Source organism: Homo sapiens, chromosome 11, assembly GCF_000001405.40.
Source record: "Homo sapiens chromosome 11, GRCh38.p14 Primary Assembly".
In the NCBI taxonomy this organism is placed as follows: domain Eukaryota; kingdom Metazoa; phylum Chordata; class Mammalia; order Primates; family Hominidae; genus Homo; species Homo sapiens.
Window position 1 is genome coordinate 36,173,307 of NC_000011.10, and position 22,434 is coordinate 36,195,740.

Consider the following 22,434-nt stretch of genomic DNA (forward strand, 5'->3'; position numbering starts at 1 on the left):
GGTATATCTCCTAATGCTATCCCTCCCCCCTCCCCCCACCCCACAACAGGCCCAGGTGTGTGATATTCCCCTTCCTGTGTCCAAGTATTATCATTGTTCAATTCCCACCTATGAGTGAGAACATGCAGTATTTGGTTTTTTGTCCCTGCGATAGTTTGCTGAGAATGATGGTTTCCAGCTTCATCCATGTCCCTACAAAGGACATGAACTCATCCTTTTTTATGGCTGCATAGTATTCCATGGTGTATATATGCCACATTTTCTTAATCCAGTCTATCATTGATGGACATTTGGGTTGGTTCCAAGTCTTTGCTATTGTGAATAATGCCACAATAAACATACATTTGCATGTGTCTTTATAGCAGCATGATTTATAATCCTTTGGGTATATACCCAGTAATGGGATGGCTGGGTCAAATGGTATTTCTGGTTCTAGATCTAGATCTTTGAGAATCAATATCGTGAAAATGGCCATACTGCCCAAGGTAATTTATAGATTTAATGCCATCCCCATCAAGCTACCAATGACTTTCTTCACAGAATTGGAAAAAAACTACTTTAAAGTTCATATGGAACTAAAAAAGAACCTGCATTGCCAAGACAATCCTAAGCCAAAAGAGCAAAGCTGGAGGCATCATGCTGCCTGACTTCAAACTACACTACAAGGCTACAGTAACCAAAACAGCATGATACTGGTACCAAAACAGAGATACAGACCAATGGAACAGAACAGAGCCCTCAGAAATAATACTACACATCTGCAACCATCTGATCTTTGACAAACCTGACAAAAACAAGCAATGGGGAAAGGATTCCCTATTTAATAAATGGTGCTGGGAAAACTGGGTAGCCATATGGAGAAAGCTGAAACTGGATCCCTTCCTTACACCTTACACAAAAATTAATTCAAGATGGATTAAAGACTTAAATGTTAGACCTAAAACCATAAAAACCCCAGAAGAAAACCTAGACAATGCCATTCAGGCCATAGGCATGGGCAAGGACTTTATGTCTAAAACACCAAAAGCAATGGCAACAAAAGCCAAAATTGACAAGTGGGATCTAATTAAACTAAAGAGCTTCTGCACAGCAAAAGAAACTACCATCAGAGTGAACAAGCAACCTACAGAATGGGAGAAAATTTTTGCAATCTACTCATCTGTCAAAGGGCTAATATCCAGAAGCTACAAAGAACTCAGACAAATTTACAAGAAAAAAACAAACAACCCCATCAAAAAGTGGGCAAAGTATATAAACAGACACTTCTCAAAAGAAGACATTCATGCAGCCAACAGACACATGAAAAAATGCTTGTCATCACTGGCCATCAGAGAAATGCAAATCAAAACCACAATGAGATACCATCTCACACCAGTTAGAATGGCGATCATTAGGCCAGGCGCAGTGGCTCACGCCTGAAATCCCAGTACTTTGGGAGGCTGAGGCAGGCGGATCACGAGGTCAGGAGATCGAGACCATCCTGGCTAACATGATGAAACCCTGTCTCTACTAAAAATACAAAAAAATTAGCTGGGCGTGGTGGCAGGTGCCTGTAGTCCCAGCTACTCAGGAGGCTGAGACAGGAGAATGGCATGAACCCAGGAGGCAGAGCTTGCAGTGAGCTGAGATCGTGCTACTCCACTCCAGCCTGGGGACAGAGCGAGACTCCGTCTCAAAAAAAAAGAAAAGAAAAGAAAAAAAGAATGGCGATCATTAAAAAGTCAGGAAACAACAGGTGCTGGAGAGGATGTGGAGAAATACGAACATTTTTACGCTGTTGATGGGACTGTAAACTGGTTCAACCATTGTGGAAGACAGTGTGGCAATTCCTCAAGGATCTAGAACTAGAAATATCTCCCATTTCATTCTTAATTGAACCTATTTGGAGCTCTCTTCTTTTTTTTGGTTAACCTCACTAATGGTCTATTGATTTTGTTTATCTTTTCAAAGAACCACCTTTTGTCTCATTTATCTTCTGTAATTTTTTTTGTTTCAATTTCATTTAGTTCTGCTCTGATCTTTGTTCTTTCATTTCTTCTGCTGGGCTTGGGTTTGCTTTGTTTTTGTTTCTCTAGTTCCTTTAGGTGTGACCTTAGATTGTCTATTTGTGCTCTTTCAGACTTTTCAATGTAGGTATTTAATGCTATGAACTTTCCTCTTAGCACTGCTTTCGTTGTATCCCAGAGTTTTTGGTAGGTTGTATCACTATTATTGTTCAGTTCAAGGAATTTTAATTTCCATCTTGATTTCATTGTTGACCCAGAGATCATTCAGGAGCAGATTATTTAATTTCTATGTATTTGCATGGTTTTAAGGGTTCCTTTTGGAGTCAATTTCCAATTTTATTCTGCTTTGGTCTGAGAGAATCCTTGATATAATTTCAGTTTTCAGAAATTTGTTGAGACTTGTTTTGTGGCCTATTATATGGTCTGTCTTAGAGAATGTTCCATGCACTGATGAATAGAATGTATATCTGCAGTTGTTGGGTAGAATGTTCTGTACATATCTGTTAAGTTTAGTTGCTCTAGGGTATAGTTTAAGTCCATTGTTACTTTGCTGACTTTCTGTCTTGACTTGTCTAGTGCTATCAGTGGAGTATTGAAGTCCCCCACTATTATTGTGTTGCTGTCTATCTCATTTCTTAGGTCTAGAGGTAATTGTTTTACAAACCTAGGAGCTCCATTGTTAGTACATATATATTTAGAATTGTGATATTTTCCTGTTGGACTAATCCTTTTACCATTATATAATGTCCCTCTTTGTCTTTTTTAACTATTGTTGCTTTAAAGTCTGTTTTGTCTATAGCTACTCCTGCTCGCTTTTGTTGTCCATTTGCATAGACTGTCTTTTTCCACCCCTTTACCTTAAGTTTATGTGAGTCCTTATGTGTTAGGTGAGTCTCTTGAAGACAGCAGATACTTGTCTGCTGTTGGTGAATTCTTATCCATTCTGATATTCTTTCTCTTTTAAGTGGAGTACTTAGGCCATTTACTTTCAATGTTAGTATTGAGATGTGAGGTCCTATTCTGTTCCTCGTGCTAGTTGTTGCCTGAATACCTTGTGGGGTTCTTTTTTTCATTGTGTTACTGTTTTATAGGCCCTGTGGGATTTATGCTTTTTGGAAGTTCTATTTTGGTGTATTTCAAGGTTTTTTTTTTTCAAAATTTAGAACTCCTTTTAGCAGTTGTTGTAAGTGCTGGCTTGGTAGTGGTGAATTGTCTCAGCATTTCTTTGTCTAAAAAAGACTATCTTTCCTTCATTTATGGAGCTTAGTTTCACTGGGTACAGGATTCTTGGCTGATAATTGTTTTGTTTAATCAGGCTAAAGCTAGGACCACTCCCTTCTAGCCTGCAGGGTTTCTGCTGAGAAATCCGCCGTTAATCTGATAGGTTTTCCTTTATAGGTTACCTGATGCTTTTGCCTCACAGCTGTTAAGATTATTTCCTTCATCTTGACTTCAGATAACCTGTTGACTATGTGTCTAGGTGATTATCTTTTTGTGATGAATTTCCCAGGTGTTCTTTGAGCTTCTTCTCTTTCAATGTCTAGGTCTCTAGCAAGGCCAGGGAAGTTTTCCTCAGTTATTCCCTCAAATACGTTTTCCAAAATTCTGGATTTCTCTTCTTACTCAGGAATACCAATTACTCTTAGGTTTGGTGGTTTAACATAATCCCAAACTTCTTGGGGGCTTTGTTCAATTTTTTTTTTCTTTTTTCTTTGTCTTTGTCAGATTGGGTTAATTTGAAAGCCTTGTCTTCGAGCTCTGAAGTTCTTTCCTCTACTTGTTTGATTCTATTGTTGAAAATTTCCAGTTTATTTTGCATTTCTCTGAGTGTGTCTTTTATTTCCAGAAGTTGTAATTGTTTTTCATTGATGATATTTACTTCTAAGGAGACTTTTTTCATTCATATCCTATATTACTTTTTAAATTTCTTTAAATTGGTTTTCACCTTTCTCTGGTGCCTCCATGAGTAGCTAAACAATTGAGCTTCTTAGATCTTTTTCTGGCAGTTTAGTGATTTCTTCTTGATTTGGATCCATTGCTGGTGAGCTAGTGTGATCTTTTGTGGATGATAAAGAACCTTGCTTTGTCATATTACCAGAATTGTTTTTCTGGTTCCTTCTCATTTGGGTAGACTCTGTCAGAGGAAGGATTGGGGGTTCAAGGGCTGCTGTTCAGATTCTTTTGTCCCACAGGGTGGTCCCTTGATGTGGTGCTCTCCCTCTTCCCCTAGGGATGGGGCTTCCTGAGAGCCAGACTGCATGATTGTTATTGCTCTTCTGGGTCTAGCCACCCAGTGGAGCTACTGGACTCCAGGCTGGTGCTAGGGAGTGCCTGCAGAGAGTCAAAGAGTCCTGTAATGTGATCCATCTTCACGTCTCTCAGCCGTGGATACCAGCACCTGCTCAGGTGGAGGTAGCAGGGGAGTGAAGTGGACTCTGTCCTTGGTTGTAATTTTGTATAGTCCGCTGGTTTTCACAAATGCTGCTTGTGCTCCCGATTGGTTGGACTCCAGCAAGGAGGTGATGCTTTCAAGAGAGCATCAGCTGATACAACCTAAGGTCGCCTGGATAAGTATTTGGGTTTCTCAGGCCATAGGCAGTGCCATAGAGCTCCTAAGAGATTATGTCTTTTGTCTGAATTCAGAGTTTTTGTTTTTTGGCTGTCTCATGGAGTTTGCAGTGGCAAGCCACTTCCTTCAAAGATTCTGTGAAATCTTGTGGCTTTCCTGCTGTGTTCCTGTGGTGGTTTTTGGAGCTAAAGTTCACGATGTGAGTTTCTACATGCTGTTCTGTCCTTCTGAGTGGGAGCTGCAAGTTAGTCCTGCCTCCTCACCACCATTTTTCCCTATTTTCAGTTTTTTGATGCTACCACAGTTTTATACCACTTTGTTCTCAATCCCTCAGTCTCATCCTGCAGAAGCCCTTGCCTCCAACTCTATGGAGAAGAATTAAGGCCTCCCAGTGAGAGTTTCTTCAACCTCCTCTCCAGCCCAGGATTTCAGTTTCCCACTGTTCCCCTCCCCGCCGCCAGCCCAACTGCTGAGGGTTCTCTCCTGGAACCTGCCACACTTCTTTGACCTCCATGGTTCATCTGCCCAGTGGTCTTCCCACCTCCTCATTCCGTCGTACGCCAAATCCATCCTACACTCAGTGTCATATTTGTTTTTCTCAGTTGTTACCTCTCCCACTCAAACCCCTTCCAAATGCCCCTTTTGAGTAAGCTCCTCACCATGGCATTCAGAGCCGTGCATTTGAGTCCAGTGGACATATACCCCACCTCTATGCCCCATCAAAACTGGATTGTTGATCATTACCCAAAAAGATCTTGCAGTTTCTCTCCTTCCACTGACCAGCGCTAATTCCCTTCACATGAAATATTCTGTCTCCATCTCCACTTGCTAAAGTTGTTTCCATCCTTCAAGACTCAAATACCACCTACCTGATGAATCATGAGCTGATTTTCACTTCTGTGCCAGAGACCCTCCCATCCCTCCTGCCTTTGAACATCCATAGCATGTAATTTATACTGCTTTTCCATCACTTATGGTGGAGAACTTGTATTCCTGACACTTGCCTACCTTGATTTGTCCACCAATTTGATTGTAAGTGTCTTGAGGTCATAGAAGTAAAAGCATGCCTTGTTACCCAGAGTATGGGCTGTCTGCCTTTGCTATCAGAAGCCGTCCTTAATTGTGAACTGCATTGAATTCTCAACAGAGCAGGACCTGTCTCTGTAATTTAATCTTTTCCCTGACTTGAACAACAATGAAGCAGGGAGACAGAATGCTCTGGCTGACATGGGAATCCCAGGGTGTTCACTAAGTACACATTCTTGTTCTGCATCCCTGGAGATTCCGAATGAAAAGGTAGAGCCCAGATAGGCCAGGTATGGTGGCTCATGCCTGTAATCCCAGCACTTTGAGAGGCTGAGGCGGATGGATCACTTGAGGTCAGGAGTTAGAGACCAGCCTGGCTAACATGGTGAAACCCCATCTCTACTAAAAATACAAAAATTAGCTGGGAGTGGTAGCAGGTGCCTGTAATTCCAGCTACTTGAGAGGCTGAGGTAGGAGAATCACTTGAACCCAGGAGGTGGTGGTTGCAGTGAGCCAAGATTGTGCCACTGCACTCCAGCCTGGGTAACAGAGTGAGACTCTGTCTCAGAAAAAAAAGGTTAGAGCCCAGAAACCTGTATTTTTTACAAGCGTCTCAGCTCAGAAGTTCATTGCTACTAAAACACCTTGTGAGAACCACTGGGGCAGTGGACCAAATAAAGTTGAGTTTGAATCCAGTTCTTCAGTTCCCTAGTTGTGCAGACCTAAGCAGCCTCCTCATCTGTAAAATGGGATAATACTTGCCTTTTTAGGCCACTGCAGGGAGTGAATAAAACAACGGATGTAGCTGAGCTCGGTGGCTCATGCCTATAATTCCAGCACTTTGGGAGGCTGAGGCAGGAGGATGGCTTGAACCCAGGAGTTTGATGCCAGCCTGGGCAACACAGGGAGACCCCCATCTGTACAAAAAAATAAAAAATTAGCCGGACATGGTAGCCTGTGCTTGCCTGTGGTCCTAGCTACTTGGGAGGCTGAGGTCGGAGGCTTGCTTGAACCCAGATCGAGGCCATAGTAAGCCGTGATCACACCACCGCACTCTAGCCTAGACAACAGAGCAAAACCCTGTCTCAAAAAAATAAATAATCAAAACAAACAAAAAACAACATATGTAAAATGGCCAGCCCAACGCACAGATCAGGGTAGATGCTGTGTCAGTTTTCTTCCCAAAGTGCCACATTCAGTTCTGCATCCTGGTTCCAGGGGGTTCCTACCTGCCTCGGTACACTATCATTTTTCCTCATCCTCAGCATTAGTTGAAGGTCTCTTCCATCCTAAGTCAGCAGCTCTTCTTCAGCTGGGATTTGTCTGCCTCTTCACTCTCTTCTGCTTGTGGCCCAGAGGACCTGAGTTGCAGAGGTCACAACTGCTGTGCTGGCTTTCTTAGAACACCTTTCTGTTGGGCCATTTACTCAACATACACTTGTTGAGTGTCTGCCCTGTGGCAGATTCTGTCTTAGAGACTGGTTGTACAGCAGTGAATACAATGAGCCCAAATCCCTGTCTTCATGGACGTATAGTCTAGAGGCACTGTACATGTAGAAGTAAGTAGGAAGGTGCTCAAGGAGGCCTGCGAGGAGAGTGGCGGGAGCTGGGGACAGCTGAAGACAGGAGGCGTGTGCCAGACAGTGAAGCCTTATGAGGCATTGAAGGGACTTTTGCCTCTACTCTGGGTGACACGGAGCGCATGGACAGTTTTGAGTGGAGGAGTACCCTCATGTGGCTCATATTTTGACAGGATCATCTGGCTGCTGTGTTGAGAATAGACTGCAGAGGGTAGTGGTGGACATGAGGAAGCAGATGGGAGACTCTGGCTGTAATAAGGGGTAGGTGGGGGTTGGGGGTGGGGTGCGGATGGTGGCCAAGGCCAGCGTGTGCCAATTGGTGTGGTAAGAACGGTCAGTGCGGGCCATGCTTGGAAAGTAGAGACCATTGGAATTGCTTGTGGATTTGATGTAGAGTGTGAGAGAATCGCTAAGGATGGCACCAAGGTTTTTGGCCTAAAGAAATGGAAGGACGGAGCTACCAGTAACAGAGATGGGGCAGGGGCACACATTGCAGAAAGAACACATCAGGAACTCAGCTAGGGATATATTACCTCCTGAAATTCAGTGTGGCCTTGGGTAGCTGATCTCGGGCAGAGATTGGTGACTCTTGTCCCCGTGTGTGGCTCAATGTTAACTTTTTAACGATCAGATGCTGACCTCTCCCAATAAAATGTATTAACTGCTGGCACCACTTCAAAACTCTGGCTAGTCTTTAAAATAACTAGTTAGCTTTCATTACAAAAGTAATACCTACACATGGTAAAAAAAAAAAAAAAAATCTAAGAATTACAGGACTAAGGTGAAAAAATAAGCCTTCCTCACTACCCCTGCTTATTGTTCTCTGTCTTTTTGCAGCTATTTTTCCACAAATTACTGTGTCCTGAGCCCTGAGCTAATTAAGTGCTGGATAAGCATCACCTCCCAGTAATCCTGTTATCAGCCTTTGAAATGTAGGTAGCTTTATTATCCACATTTTGCAGATGAGGAAACAGAGTCAGGTGAAGTGTCTTTTCCAAGGCCAAGCTCCTGAGGGCAGGGGCTCAAGCTTAGGCCTTCAGACTCCAAAGTCCAGACCGTCCCTGGGAACAAGCACCCTAGGTTTTCACATGGAGCCTCCGAAACGCCTCTGGCATCTCCTGCTGTGGGGTTGGATATGAGCTGTCTTATATAGACCCTACCTAAATTAAATTAAAATCGACTAATTAAATGTGGCCTCTTTGAATACACTGCCGTATTTCTAATTACAGCTTTCCTTCTCTCCTGAGAAGGCAGCCCAACATTGTTTCTGAAAAGGTCCTCAATTACTAATGGTTGGATAACATTTTGAAAATGTAAGTGTCATTAAATTGTTAGTTAGAAGGCCCTGAGTGGGGATGAGAGGATGGAAGTCAGTTGTCAACCGTCTCCTCTCTCTCTCTGTTTCTGTCTCTGTCTCTCACACTTTCTCTCTCTCACTGTTTCTCTCTCTGTAATACACATATGCACATCCTTATCTCACAATTGACCCAAAGCATCAGAAATAAAAAGTCAGACTGAGTGACCTTAGCTGCTAGGAAGCATCTTATTGTGCCTTCCCTCCCTCTCTGACTTTGGCCTTGACACTGATCTGAGCCTGCAGATAACAGAAAGGAGGAGCTTATCTAGACAGGAGTGGTGGAAGTAGCCAGTAACAAATCATTGAAGTGAGGAGAATGAAGGTAAAGAAATTGATCAGCTTTAAATAGGAGGTGACTCCGCATTCCTCTTGCTTGGAAATGATCCCCAGGATGGAATTGTGTCCAGGGTGTGAGGTTGTTTGTGAATCAGTCCTTTCCAGATAGAATATATGAGGCTTGAAACTACATAGTGCTTATCACCAAGAGGTATATAGGTTTGTCAGAGCAAGAAGACCACTCTCCCCTCCACCTGCCCCCGCAAAAAAAAAGAAAGGTAGTATAGAGACTTAGAAAGTAGAGAAATATAGGTAGAAGTACAGTACCTTTGAGTGACCTTCAGAATTCGGTCCTCTTGGCTCAAAATTTTGGCATCATTTCAACAAACTATTTTTTTTCTCTCCTCATTTGATTTCCCCTTCAAGAAGACAGGGAGTGAGTGGGCTCCAATCTTGGCAACGTTGGCTGCTTATTAGAGCATTTGCAGGCCTAGGAGATTTGCTCCTCCTCTTGGTATCTGAAGTTCCACAAGCCCCTTGTTCACTTCCCCTGGAGTAGGGATTGTGGAATGTTGCCACTCACCTTCAGTTCCCTGTTGAAGCTCTTGCAGACCCCTAATAGTGCATGCTACCGTTCTGCAGAGAAGACCATGATGACAAACCACAGACATCCCCCTTCATCTATTGTCTTCTGTGTCTTTGGGAAGGCATTCCTGGAATGACTGGGGGCTGTGTGTCTCAGTTTAATAATGCAAGCTTTTGGTTTTTGTTAAACACATGCAGAGCCTGATATTAAGCATTAAACCAAGGAGCTAGGCTAAGACAGTTGTGTCAAGAAGTTGTTGTCTTTGAAGAAGCACAAGGAATTTAAAGGGATGAGGAAACAAGAAGGGGGCCTATCCAGTTGGGACCACAATACAAAATTGAATTTATCATTTATGAATAATGGCTTCTAGTTTTTGAGTACTTACAGGGTCCCAGGCACTGTAGATGGTGGGACGTAGACGGTGGGATGGTGGGAAGGTGGGAGACCCAGAGAGCTTAAGTGATCCAGCCCTAGACACACGGTGTTAGTTAACTTTTGGGAGACACTTCACAAGCTGGTGTGAATGAAAGAAAAGCAGCATGTACTTTTACAAACCTTAATTTAAGCAAAGGTAATAAATTTCAACCTACTCAAAGCAGAACTAGGGTGTGATTACTTGCTTTGTAAAAGATTTTTTGCTTTGGAAAGTTAGAAATACTGGTTTTCAAAATATGTTTTGATTTTCCTATCTAAACCTCTATTGGATTAAAGTAAAACATGTTGACCATATTACGTGGAGAAATATTGCACACTCTGTCCAGCTATGCTGGATGAAAAGGTTGCAGTCAGTGAAGGGTGAAAAACTTAGTCTAGTTTGGACAAGAAGAAAAAATTAACTTCTGAACTTTACCACCTAGATGTCACTACTCTAATACTTCTCAAAGTATAGATGGACACCACACCTGCTAATATTGCATGTTCCTGGGACTCAACCTAGTCTGAAGAATCAAAAGAGTGGTATTAGAGCCCCAGAATCCATGTTTTAATAAGCTCCAAAGGTGATTCTGCACCATAATTTGAATTTCCTTTAGATCACCTCAATCCATATCTGTTAACCTCTCGTCCATATTTTCTCTTTTTGTGTCTCTTTCTGCTGCGTTCTGAATAATTCTTCTTGAGCTATCATTCAGTTCATTTATTCTTTTTTCATCTGTGTCTAATCTACGGTTAAGTGGGTCCATTGAGTTTTTAATTTTAGCTACAGTATTTTTCACTTCTAGATGTTCTATTTGGTTCTTTTTCCAAATATATTTCATCTTTTTTTTTTTTTTTTTCCCGAGATGGAGTTTCGCTCTTGTTGCCCAGCCTGGAATGCAGTGGCACATCTCGGCTCACCGCAACCTCCACCTTCCGGGTTCAAGTGATTCTCCTGCCTCAGCCTCCCGAGTAGCTGGGATTACAGGCATGCGCTACCACACCCAGCTAATTTTGTATTTTTAATAGAGACAGGGTTTCTCCATGTTGGTCAGTCTGGTCTCAAACTCCCGAGCTCAGGTGATCCACCCACCTTGGCCTCCCAAAGTGCTGGGATTGCAAATGTGAGCCACTGTGTCCAGTCTTCCATCATTTTTTAATAGTTTACTCTTCCCTGCAGATGGACATATTCAAGCTTTGCTTTTATTTCTTAATAATTTACTAATATGTTCATGAAATTTAGTAATATGTTTATGATTAGGTCTGATAATTTTAATATCTGAAGTCTTTACATGTCTATTTCTGATATCTGCTGTTTTTACTGGTCTACTCATGGTATCCTGGATCCTCCAGTACTTAGTATTTTTGACTGTATATTACTCATTGTCTTTGAAAAATTATTTTTGGAAATTCATTGAAGACTGTGATAAAAGATGCCTTTCTCCAGAGAGATTTAGGTTGGCTTCTGACAGGTTCCTAGGAGTACTACCAGTTCAGGACCATTTCAAACCAAGTTTTTGAGGTTCCCTGGACCATCTGAGTAATGCAAGGCCAAGGTATACAATCCATGAGAAGGCCATCCATGGTGAATAAATCCTTCCACATCTCCCTTGTTGAATTTGTTGCAAAGACAGCCTTCTCCACAGTCCTCTGATCTGGAGAAGGTTTATTTCTGGCTCATCCTCACCTTAAAAATTAGCACTTTGGAGTCCAAGCATAACAGAGGGTCTCCTTTAGACTCTCCACTTTGGCCCTGGATCTTGACTTAATGTTCCTCTCAATTTTTGGCAAAACTGAAACTCAAGTTGGTCTAGCTCACCATTGCCCTTGGAAGAAAATTTGCCTCAATTTTCCAGATGCTTACCTTTTCCTTTTTTTTACTTTTTTGATGATATTAAGAATCTTAAAAAATATATTTTACTCTAGAATTAGGTTTTTTCCCCAGTAGGGGAGATGGTTTGCATATATAGCTCGCCATATTACTAGAACTGGAAGTCTCTGCGCTAGAATTATAGAACCATTCCTCTGTTTATTCCAGCCCATGATGTTGGAGAGACAAAACTGAAGCTGTCCTCTGGCCTGTAGTTGGGTAGAATATTTTACTGACCTTTGCCCAGATCTTTCACCTTTGTTCTCCCTAGAGTGTTTCCAGGTATCTCAAATGAGATGGACCAAGTCTTAAAGCACCAGTAACTTTAATGCAATAAAAAGATCAAATAGTACTTTTAGAAGGAGACAAAGGGGATTCCATAAAAGGTAAAAATCTTTAGATGCTGAGAATTTAGGGTATAGGAACCACAGCTGTTCAGATGAACTTGGGCTAGTCTTCCCTGTCACGATCACCATGTGCCTCTAGACAATAAATGCAGTTTGAGGAATGCAGTGGCACAAGATGGCTTGTGTTCACCACTGAGACTGATAAATGAGAGCTGGAAAGAGTGCTCCAGTGTCTGTCATTGAAAAGTGGGGAGATAGCCTGTACCTGGGCTCCCTCACTGTCGAGTTCATTATTCCCTCACATGGATTAATTGGCCTCTCGAGGTGAGATTGCCACTGGTTCTGAAGGATGCCTCTCTTTACCACATTATTGCTCTCCCTTCACTCTGCTTCTGAAAGTCACCCTTGAAAACACACATTCTTCTCTACTGGTGAAGTCTGATTTATCAGCCAACTCCTCAGAGAAGAAATAACAAGATAAAAACCTCTGGCTATAAAGCACTGTTATGCATTATGCTCTGTTGGCTTTATGTCTAGACAGAGCTAAGAGACGCCTTTGTGACCCTAGCAATACCTAGAGATGACTGTATATTTACCTCTTTTTAGAAGAAAGATGGACTTGACATTTTTATATATTAGAGGCCACAGAGGCAAAGAAAGCTCTAGCCAGGGAGACAGGAGGTGACACTTTAAAACCCTGGTCTGCCTGTCCTTCCCTGAATGAGAGAAAGTGTAGTATAGCCTTGCAGATAAAAACAGACCCTGGAGTCACCAACTGCCTGGGTTCCCATTCCTCACACTATCACTTTTTAATTCTATGACCTCGAGCAAGTTACTCACATCTCTGTGCCTGAGTTCCCCATCTATGAAGTGGAAATAATGGTGGTACCTATCTCATGGTGGTGTTATACAGATCAATCATGTAAGGTACTTAGAGTATAATGCTTGACATGTAATAAGCACTCAGTAAATATGAGATATCATGGTTATTATGCTAGCCCAGAGAAACTACGGTATATGCAGTTGCCGGCAATGTCTATAAAATAGTCTTCTCTTGCAGTGAGTCACAGGAGCTAACAGCTCCCATTTTGAAAGGGGAAATTGACAATGGTAGCTGGCTTATTTGAGAGAGTTGGTCCACATCCAAAAATCTTTTCAGGCCAGTACATTCTTGCCAGACTGATTGCATGTGTGGTCTAGGGTTACCATGTTCATTGCCAAGAGACATGTGAGTTACTGAGCTAGGAGAAACCCAAATTAGGAGTACAAGGAATCAGGAGATCTCTGGGAAATGCAGTCAGAAGACTAGATAGCACTACCAGGCAGGTCCAGATTCAGAATTAGTGAGACGGATGGGGTATGAATCCCATACTCACCACCTATTCCTGTGACTGATCGTGGCTGAGTGAGCTCATCTCCTACAGATTCATGCACTTGCATATGGCTATGAGATTTTGTTTAAAATGAGCCCCCCTGTGGGTTACGTGGGCATATGCATTTTTCAGAAGTCATAGCCTGTATACTCAAGATGTGTGCATTTTGCTGTATGGAAATTACACAGTTTTTAAAAAATGAGTTATTCCTCCCCTTAAGTTGATAGTGGAGCTTGCATAAATGTGCAGGTGGTTGCCATGGCCCACAGGGGATCCATTTGTGATTACCAGCTGGGAGGAGATACACCTGCTTGCACGTCTCTAGCAGATGTGTGTGACCTGCCCCCAACTCCTGCTAATTCTGGCCCCTTTCTTAGCCTCTTCTCCTATATCCATCTTTCCTTGGCTTCCTATTACCTTTACTTCTTTTCTCAGATCCTAGGGTTTTTTTTACTCTTTTAATTTACATTTAGTCTTTCCTTTTTTATGATCAGAAGTAACCTATGCATATTATGAGAAAGAGCAAACTGCTTAGAACTATATAAAGTAAAAAGCAAAAGTTGTTTTCAGTTCCCCAGAAGTGACCAGCATGATTTGGTGAAAATGCAACCAGACTTTTCTATATATGCATGTCGTGTATCTATGTGCCTATATAATACAAATATATAGATGTGTAGATAGAAAAATACCTACACATATATAGGGTTATGTTGTTTTATTATAGGAACGGAATCCTACAAAACATCTTTCATGGCACTACATAGAGCACTGCCACCCCATTCTTTTTCAGTGGCTATCATATATCCACTGTTTGGATATATTAACCACTCTTTTTTCCGTATTTCTAACTTTAGTCAAGGTGGACATACAGCTCAGCTGAGAAGCAGACACATTGTGAAATGGACTCCCCCAAAAGAGTTTCATCTGACTTATCCCTTCTCCGCAATAAAATCTTGGATTCTGGGTGTGTTTGTTTTAGATGCTGTGGTACCGGCTGGTTTTAGCAACAAGGACAGTGTTGGTAGGGTGAGAAACACTATCCCAAGTCATATGTCTGTGTGACTACAGGACATTTCTTTTGAATGCCACAAGGATGATTTATATGATTACTGGAGACAAGCCTCTGTCTCCTGAAGACAGGCCAAGATAACGTTAGATTGAATTTCAAGAGATGAAAGTGAGGTTTTTAAGTAATAGCAAAGCCTTGTGTTTCTGTAGTACTTTGTGCTTTTTGAAGTGCTTTCACAGTCATTATCCTGTTTGATCCTACTAAGAACCCTGAAAGTACATAGGTTGGTGGTTTTTATCCTGAGACTACAAATGATACCAAGGATAACGATGAGTAGGAATCAGAGCTAGAATTAACCCCTATTTTCTTACTATTGACCCAGCATGCTTTCTATGTTGAAAAGTGCACCACATCGAGAAGAGATTGGTCACCGCAGCACAGGGCACGCAGAATTCCATTAGTATCACTTACCTGGGAAGTCCAGGTGCCTTCAATAGTTGAGGGGAGTAAATGATATGACTACCTACCTTCAAAACTTGTAGTTTAAAGTGGTAACTTGAATACTCACATTTACCTCTGTTTCCTTCCTCTAAAAGAATGGTTTTTTAAAGGGTAAATCCACAGGGACAAAGAAAAGGAGAGGAAAACCAGCAAAAAAAAAAAAAAAAAAAAAAAAAAAATTGTGGAAGCTGGAGAACAAATGGGTGAGCTATGACTGGATTAGTGAACTCAGAAAATGGAATTCTAAGCTGGCACTCAGGAGAACCAAGAGGCAACCAGATATACTTCCAGAAGGCCTGGGAATTGGCAACTTGAGATAACTCTGGAAACAGAAGAGATGGGCTAAAAATGGGAAGATTAGTTGAAATTTCGTTAGGAAGCTATGACACTTTCATATTCCTTCCCTATGCTACACAGCCTAGCGACTGCCCCTCTCACACCCAGGCAGAAGACTGGAGCTTACTCTCTGCTGAGGGTAGAACAGGTCTCTGGAATACCAGATATGAAGCACAGCTGAGAATGGGGGTCCGTTTCTGAAAACAGGGATTTAGCATAAGTCAACATAATGAACATTGAAACTACTAGCCCTTTTCCTCAAGTCAGGTCCCAGAACACAGCCAGCCAGGCTCATATTCCTTCTAAGCAGGAGTTTATAAAAGTCTTCTTTGGGAAAACTCACCAGTTTAAGAGATTGGATGTCAATGAAGTGGCGCAACTGAATCATCTAATGGTGAAGCCCACAACCAAGAGCTTTTTTTTTTTTTCCATTTTTTAAAATAAAAGCTTTATTAAGACATTCACATAGCATGCTTTCACTCATTGAAATTGTACAATTTGGGTTTTTCATAGAATTTGCAACCATCATCACATTAAACATATTTATAGAATTTGCAACCATCACTGCATTGTCTACTTGCAGAATTTGCAAGCATCATCACTATAAACTTCAGAACATTTTTATCACCTCAAAAAGAAAACCCCTAGGCTGGATGCAGTGGCTCACACCTGTAATCCCAACACTTTGGGAGGCTGAGGTGAGTGAATCACTTGAGGTGAGGAGTTCAAGACCAGCCTGGCCAACATGGTGAAACCCCGTCTCTACTAAAAATACAAAAATTAGCTGGGCGTGGTGGCACACATGTGATCCCAGCTACATGAGAGGCTGAGGCAGGAGAATTGCTTGAACCCGAGAGGCGGAGGTTGCAGTGAGCCGAGATTGTGCCACTGCACTCCAGCTTGGGTGACAGAGCGAGACTCCATCTCAAAAAATGAAGAAGAAAAAAAAAACCCTTGTCCTTTAGCTATCACCCCCTGCACCCCCATCTACACCCTAGGCCTACGTAACCACGAATTTACTTTTTTTTTATTATTATTATACTTTAAGTTCTAGGGTACATGTGCACAACATGCAGGTTTGTTACATATGTATACATGTGCCATGTTGGTGTGCTGCACCCATTAACTCGTCATTTACATTAGGTATATCTCCTAATGCTTTCCCTCCCCCCTTCCCCCACCCCACAACAGGCCCCACTGTGTGATGTTCCATTTCCTGTGTCCAAATGTTCTCATTGTTCAGTTCCCACCTATGAGTGAGAACATGTGGTGTTTGGTTTTTTGTTCTTGCGATAGTTTGCTGAGAATGATGACTTCCAGCTTCATCCATGTCCCTACAAAGGACATGAACTCATCCTTTTTTATGGCTGCATAGTATTCCATGGTGTATATGTGCCACATAGCTTTTTAGTGTCCCACACTTAAAAATGAGTGTCAGCCAAGGATCACCAGACATTTGACACTTGACAGAAACCTTGAATATGAAAGACAGAACACTCACACATCTAGGGGGAGGGGGGAGGGGAGGAGGAGGAGAAAGAGGAGAAAAGCATTTTGGAGGGAAACAGGCTATATCAAGAGAAGGAAACTTAAAACAGAAAAACCTAAAAGATGACTGAAGATACAGAATCCTTGAAATAAAAATAAGATGCCTCCCCTCTTTTAAAGGACTAAACAGGAAAGGACTCATAGAAATTTAACTTGAAAAAGTTGGGATTGTTTAAGGTCAGGAAATCAAGACTAGTGTGGGCAACATAGTGAGACCCCATCTTCACAAACAATTTAAAAAATATATTAGTTGGGTGTGGCGGCACATGCCTGTAGTCCTAGCTACTCAGTTGGCTGAGGTGGGAGGATTGCTTGATCCCAGGAGTTAAAGTCTGCCGTGAGTTATGATTGCACCACTGCATTCCAGCCTGGGCAACAGAGTGAGACCTTGTCTCTAAAAAAACATAATAATGGAAAAAGTTAGGTCATAAATTTGAAGGTATATCCCAGAAGGTAGAAAAACACAAGGAAATTGAAAATAAGAAAAACTGAAGACCGGGTTAGGAGATATATATCCAAATCGTAGGAATTCTAGAGAGAAGAGAGAAAAAAAATGAGAAATTGAAGAAAATGCTCCCTGAACCAAAGAACAGTGGTTTTCAGACAGAAAAGAGCCCACCTAATGCTCAGATTGGTGAATGACAGTAAACCACACCAAACACATCATTATGAAATTTCAGAACATTGGGCAAAAAGAAGATCCTACAAGTTTCTAGAGAGGGCATTACAAAAATAAATACATAAATGAAAGTAAGTGTTTTTACAAAGGTTCAAGAATCAAAATGGTGTCAGTCTTCTCAATAACATTGGACATGAGAAGACAGTTCTGAAACAAATCGTTTCAACTCAAGTTCTGTACTATAAAGACATTTTCAGAAATGATTAAAAAGTTAGTCTCATACAGTCCTTTCAAGAAGCTGCTAATAAATACGGTCTACCAAAACCAAGGGAGTAAACCAAGAAAAAGAAAGACACAGGATATGGGAAATTGGGGATCCAACCTTAGAGAGTGAAAAGGAGCCTCTGGAATGACACTGAAGGGCCATCACAGGGTGGCGGCTGTGTATCAGGCCTGGGAGCCCTTTGTCCAGACAGTGGTGGATCCGAAGGTGTGGGGAGAGATTTCTATAGGAAGAACTTGATAGGCCAAGTAGTATGGTGGCTCACTCAGGCCTGTAATCCCAACACTTTGGGAGGCTGAGGAAAGAGGATCACTTGATGCCAGGAATACAAGACCAGCCTGAACAACATACTGAGACCCCATATCTACAGAAAAATTAAAAATTATTATAGCTGGGCGTGGTGGTGCTCGCTTACAATCCCAGCTACTCCAGAGGCTGAGATTGGAGGATTGCTTGAACCCAGGAGTTTGAGGCTGTGGTGAGCTATGAGCGCGCCACTGCACTCTAGCCTGGGTGACAGAGCAAGACCCTGTCTCTCTCTCTCTCTCTCTCTCTCTCTCTCTCTCTCTCTATATATATATATATATATATATACACACACACACACACACACACACGCACGCACGCACGCACAAAGAAGAAATTGATAGAATACTTAATGTATTTGAATTCGTTGAGAAGAGATTTATGAATCTGGGAAAGACTTTGTGTTTGAATTATTGAGAAATATATGGAATGCTAAACAAATGGGGAGGGGGAAACTTTTGTTTTCCCAGGAAGAAAAGTGTTCAAATCATAGTATACCTGTGTTGTTCATCTGTAGCATTTTCTTGATCAAGATAATAAAAACAGTGATTATCTGTAATTACTGTCTAACTAAGGGGCTTGAAAATGGGCATATGTGTGGCAGTGGCAGAGATGGTAATAAACTAGAACTAAATCCTCACCTTTTAGAGTGGGAAGACAATAGATAATTCCTCAAACTAAAGAATCACAAAGTAGCATACAAGCATGCTATTTAGAGATAAGGCAGTAAGCTTTCAAAAGAGCTAACCAAAATAGTAGAAAATGACTACTTCTGGAAGATGAGGGTCAAAGAATGCGATCGCTTTTATCAAGCCTCTTACAACTATTTGACTCTTTAAATTGTGTGCACATGTTACTTTGATAGAAATAAAAGTGGAATTTCAAGAATGCGCTGGTAGGAACAATTGGTCTGTGACAGTACTTGCACTTTAAACGTGAGCTATCAAACAAAAACCTCTTTCAAGCATCTCTAGCCTCGCAACAGATGATCTGGGCATGCAGAAGACCACTGCACCCCCACTTGTCTCCCAATCTTGGATCCACCTTAATGATGGAAGCACAGATGCTGTGGGAACATTTCAGAAGCCTGTGACCTGACTTTTTTCTCTGCAGGTAACTGCAGGATGAGTGGTTTTTTGAAAAACCCAATTCTGAGCATTTTGGTCTACCACAAACTAGAGGAGAAGGCAGAAGTGCCATCTAAATGGGTTTGGGTCACACACAAAGCATCACAAGGCCGCTTTGTGGGGTAAGTTATAATGCTGCCCTGCTCTTCAAAGCAAAGCCACATGCATATATCTGGCATATGTGCAGGATAAGAATTCATTCTCTTTTTCTCTCACACTCCTAGGCAACCTGGATTAGGTCCAGGGCATGAATTGTGACACCTTCCATTACAAACTCCAAATGCAGAATGTGTTACCGGAGTTGTCTCCCTGGAACCTTTTAGGGTGAATGATGGAGACTCCTTTCCTGAGATGAGATCTTGCCACTTGCTCCCCGGCCAAACCAGCCAAAGCCTCAGGGGCCAAATGCACATGCTCGTGAGTATAGCAATTCAGAGCATGGACTTTGGAGCCAAACTCAACGGAGTTCAAATCTGGACCTTGCTACTTACTAGCTGGGTGCAACTCAGAGGAAGTTACTTCACTTCCCTGATCCTCCATTTTCTCTTCTGTAAAATGGGAATAATAGTAGTGTCTATGTTGTAACATTAAAGAAGACCTAGGATATGCTTTTAGCACCTATCATACATTAGCTATTAACTCAGTATTATATTTGCTGTATCATTGTGGGAAAATCACGGAATCTCTCCGAGCCCCAGTTTCCTCATCTGTAAAATGGGGGTAATGCTGCATCCTCGAGAGTGTTGGGAACATTCTGTGAGCCAATGTATACAAATTGCTTAGCCCAAAATATGGCAACTAGTGAGAGCTCAATTCATGAAGGTGATTATTACTTTCCTGCCTTTTCCTTTCCACAGCTTCTCTCCTAATTCAGGCCTACTTTCCTTTTGTCTGGCCACCAAAATAGCTTATCTGGCCACCCTGAGTCTCTCTCCCTCTTTCTGCTGTAGCTCATCCTGCATACAGTCGCCAGAACAATTTTACATCAACACGGCTTTTATCACTTCCCACACCTGCTGAGGAGCCCACTGCGGTTAGAAGATCGAAACACCCCAGCCTGTTATTTAAAGCTTTGCACGCTGAGATGTGTGCTTTGCATCTTTTCTGTCCAGCCAGTCACCTTATTCCTCATCTACCTTTGTGCCTACTGCCTCTGTGTGCTAGATGTTGTCGCATGCCCCTCCCAGCTCTCCTGTTAAGAGCACCACTTAGTTTTAATAATTGATTTGAAATGAAACCCACTTCTTTCAAAAATTCGCCCTGACACCTTTACCCTCCTCATTCCTTTATGCCTTGTCTTAGCAGCCTTTGGGGCTATAGCCAGCACTGGTCTCATGCAGCTTTGAGTAAATTTCCTTGTCCTGAAAAGCCACCGAGTGTAGTGGAAAGGGCTTGAGGCTTTGGAGGTCTGACAGATTTGGATTCAGATCTTAGCTCTGCCACTTACTAGCTGAGACATCTTGGGAATGTTATTTTACTTCTCAATGTTCTCACCAAATAGGAATTTATAAACTGGGAATACTGTCATTATTCCCAGTTTACAAATGGGGACATTGAGAGGTGAGATAACACATGAGATTATTATTACATAAAGTTCTTAGTATCACATCTGGCATTTAGCTGCTTACATATTACAGTTCCCTTCCCCTTGTTGTTTCATTTGTGCATGGTTTTTTGCTTTGCCAGAATACAGGCTCCTTAGGTGCAGGGCCCGGATGTTTTGTCTGTGTACCTTAGCCCCCTGAGTTGGTATATGCTAGGTGGTGCTTTGGTAACTTACAGGCCCAAGTCTCAGCAGTTTCAAACAATAGAGGTTTGTTTCCCACTTGCTTTGTAGGTCCATGATGGATTAGTAGGGCAGGCGTCTCTCATCTTAGTTACCCAGGGAGCTAGGCCACTCACATTTCACTGGCCAAAGCCCATCACCTAGCCAGATCAGAACTTCTAAGGGGCCAGGGAAGTGTAATCCTATTGTGTATCTGGAAGGAGAGAAATTCAGGAACATTTTCAACCACCTAGTGACCACCATATCCTCCAGGTCCTATCTCAGGTTTCCTGTGTGGAGATGTCTGTTGGCAAGCCTGGTGCCACCACTGGGCATATGGTTTACTCCCAGGACTTGGAGTCTTGGTGATTAGATACAGTCCTATTCTCCATGGGTTCATGGTTGCCCAACTGTAATTCACAATCTCTGCCAGAAACCCAGTGTGAATCCACTTGTCTTAGAACTCAACCATACCCCTACCAGTAAGGACACAATGAAGACAATAGCTTTGTCCCATCTGAAAAAATAAGCAATGTTCAGGGATTCCCAGTTCTCTAAAACTCTGTCATCCTTGACTCATTCATTCAGTCCACAATACTAGATTTGTGGAGATTTGCTGTGTGTCAAGCACAATTTTATTTACAACAATACGGTGATACTAAGACAGATGTGGTCCCTGCCTGTTCAGACCTGACAATTAGGCGGAGAAGGCAGTAGTCTAAAATAATTAACAGAATGGGCTCTGGAGTCAGACAGCTCATCACTGGGCTTGCATTTCTTCCAATCAACCTTGGGAAAGTTCCTAAACCTCTCTGTACCTCAGTCTTACCATGTGCAAAGTGGGAGTGAGGACCATACTTCTGTTATAGAGCTTTTTAAAAGAGGAAATGAGGTTGGTAATCCATATAGAACATTTCATAAAGACATCAGCTTCTAGAAAGCCCTTGGTAAATGTTAGCCACGGCTGCTATCATCATCTTCATCATCATCATTACCATCATTAGTAGTAACAGTAGGAGTATTTAGGATGAATAGTGGTAGGATGAGGAAGATGTTGAGCCAGCAGGGAAAGTTGTGCATTTTTCTAGAAGCATAGAAGCATCGTACTATGTTGGCATTGCACATAAGTCCATGAAAACCTATTTCTTATGGACCAGAAGCACACTGTGAACACCACCATTCTAGTTACACCTAACCACTGTTTATAACATTGTGCAGGGTCCAGCTCATCCCCTGTTATTGGCCATTTATGTTGTTCCAACTGATTCTCTGTTGTTGGCCCCTGAAGTCCCACCGTCTAATTCCTTTTGAACATTCAAGTAGCTTTTCATGATTAAGGCTCAGAGTATAGAAAGAACAGCTGAATAGGAATTGAACATTTTAAAATAGGGAGAAAGGACTCATAATTCTAAAAGCCAGACTAAAGGGCTGCAAAACAGCCCTTCGATGCATCAGACTTGTGCCTGTGTATATTTGTTCATGGCCTGACTTTGAGTCACTGTTCTTAAGGAAAAATATATTCTAAATCCCTCTGTG

At 42.0% G+C, this 22,434-nt stretch overlaps 1 protein-coding gene across 3 annotated transcripts in view, besides 2 other annotated features; it reads left to right on the forward strand.

The window, feature by feature from the left end:
* Positions 1–22,434, forward strand: part of LDLRAD3 (low density lipoprotein receptor class A domain containing 3) — a 288,075-nt gene that overhangs the window by 229,245 nt on the left and 36,396 nt on the right. Inside the window, exon 4 of one of the 3 annotated variants that reach the window (NM_001304264.2) lies at positions 10,687–10,802. The exons of the other annotated variants lie outside the window; for them this stretch is intronic. Coding sequence (NP_001291193.1) covers positions 10,712–10,802 — 91 coding nt within the window. The 5' untranslated portion in view covers positions 10,687–10,711. The remainder of the gene's footprint in view (positions 1–10,686; positions 10,803–22,434) is intronic. 3 annotated transcript variants of the gene reach the window in all.
* Positions 6,033–6,251: a silencer, noted in NCBI's record as "fragment chr11:36200889-36201107 (GRCh37/hg19 assembly coordinates)". NCBI's record gives its function as "represses an EF-1alpha promoter that drives an FKBP-Casp9 reporter gene in an ReSE screen in K562 erythroleukemia cells {active_cell/tissue: K562}" and the evidence as "EXISTENCE:reporter gene assay evidence [ECO:0000049][PMID:32094911]".
* Positions 9,233–9,527: a silencer, noted in NCBI's record as "tiled region #9208; K562 Repressive non-DNase unmatched - State 23:Low". NCBI's record gives its function as "represses a minimal TATA promoter and a strong SV40 promoter by Sharpr-MPRA in K562 cells {active_cell/tissue: K562}" and the evidence as "EXISTENCE:reporter gene assay evidence [ECO:0000049][PMID:27701403]".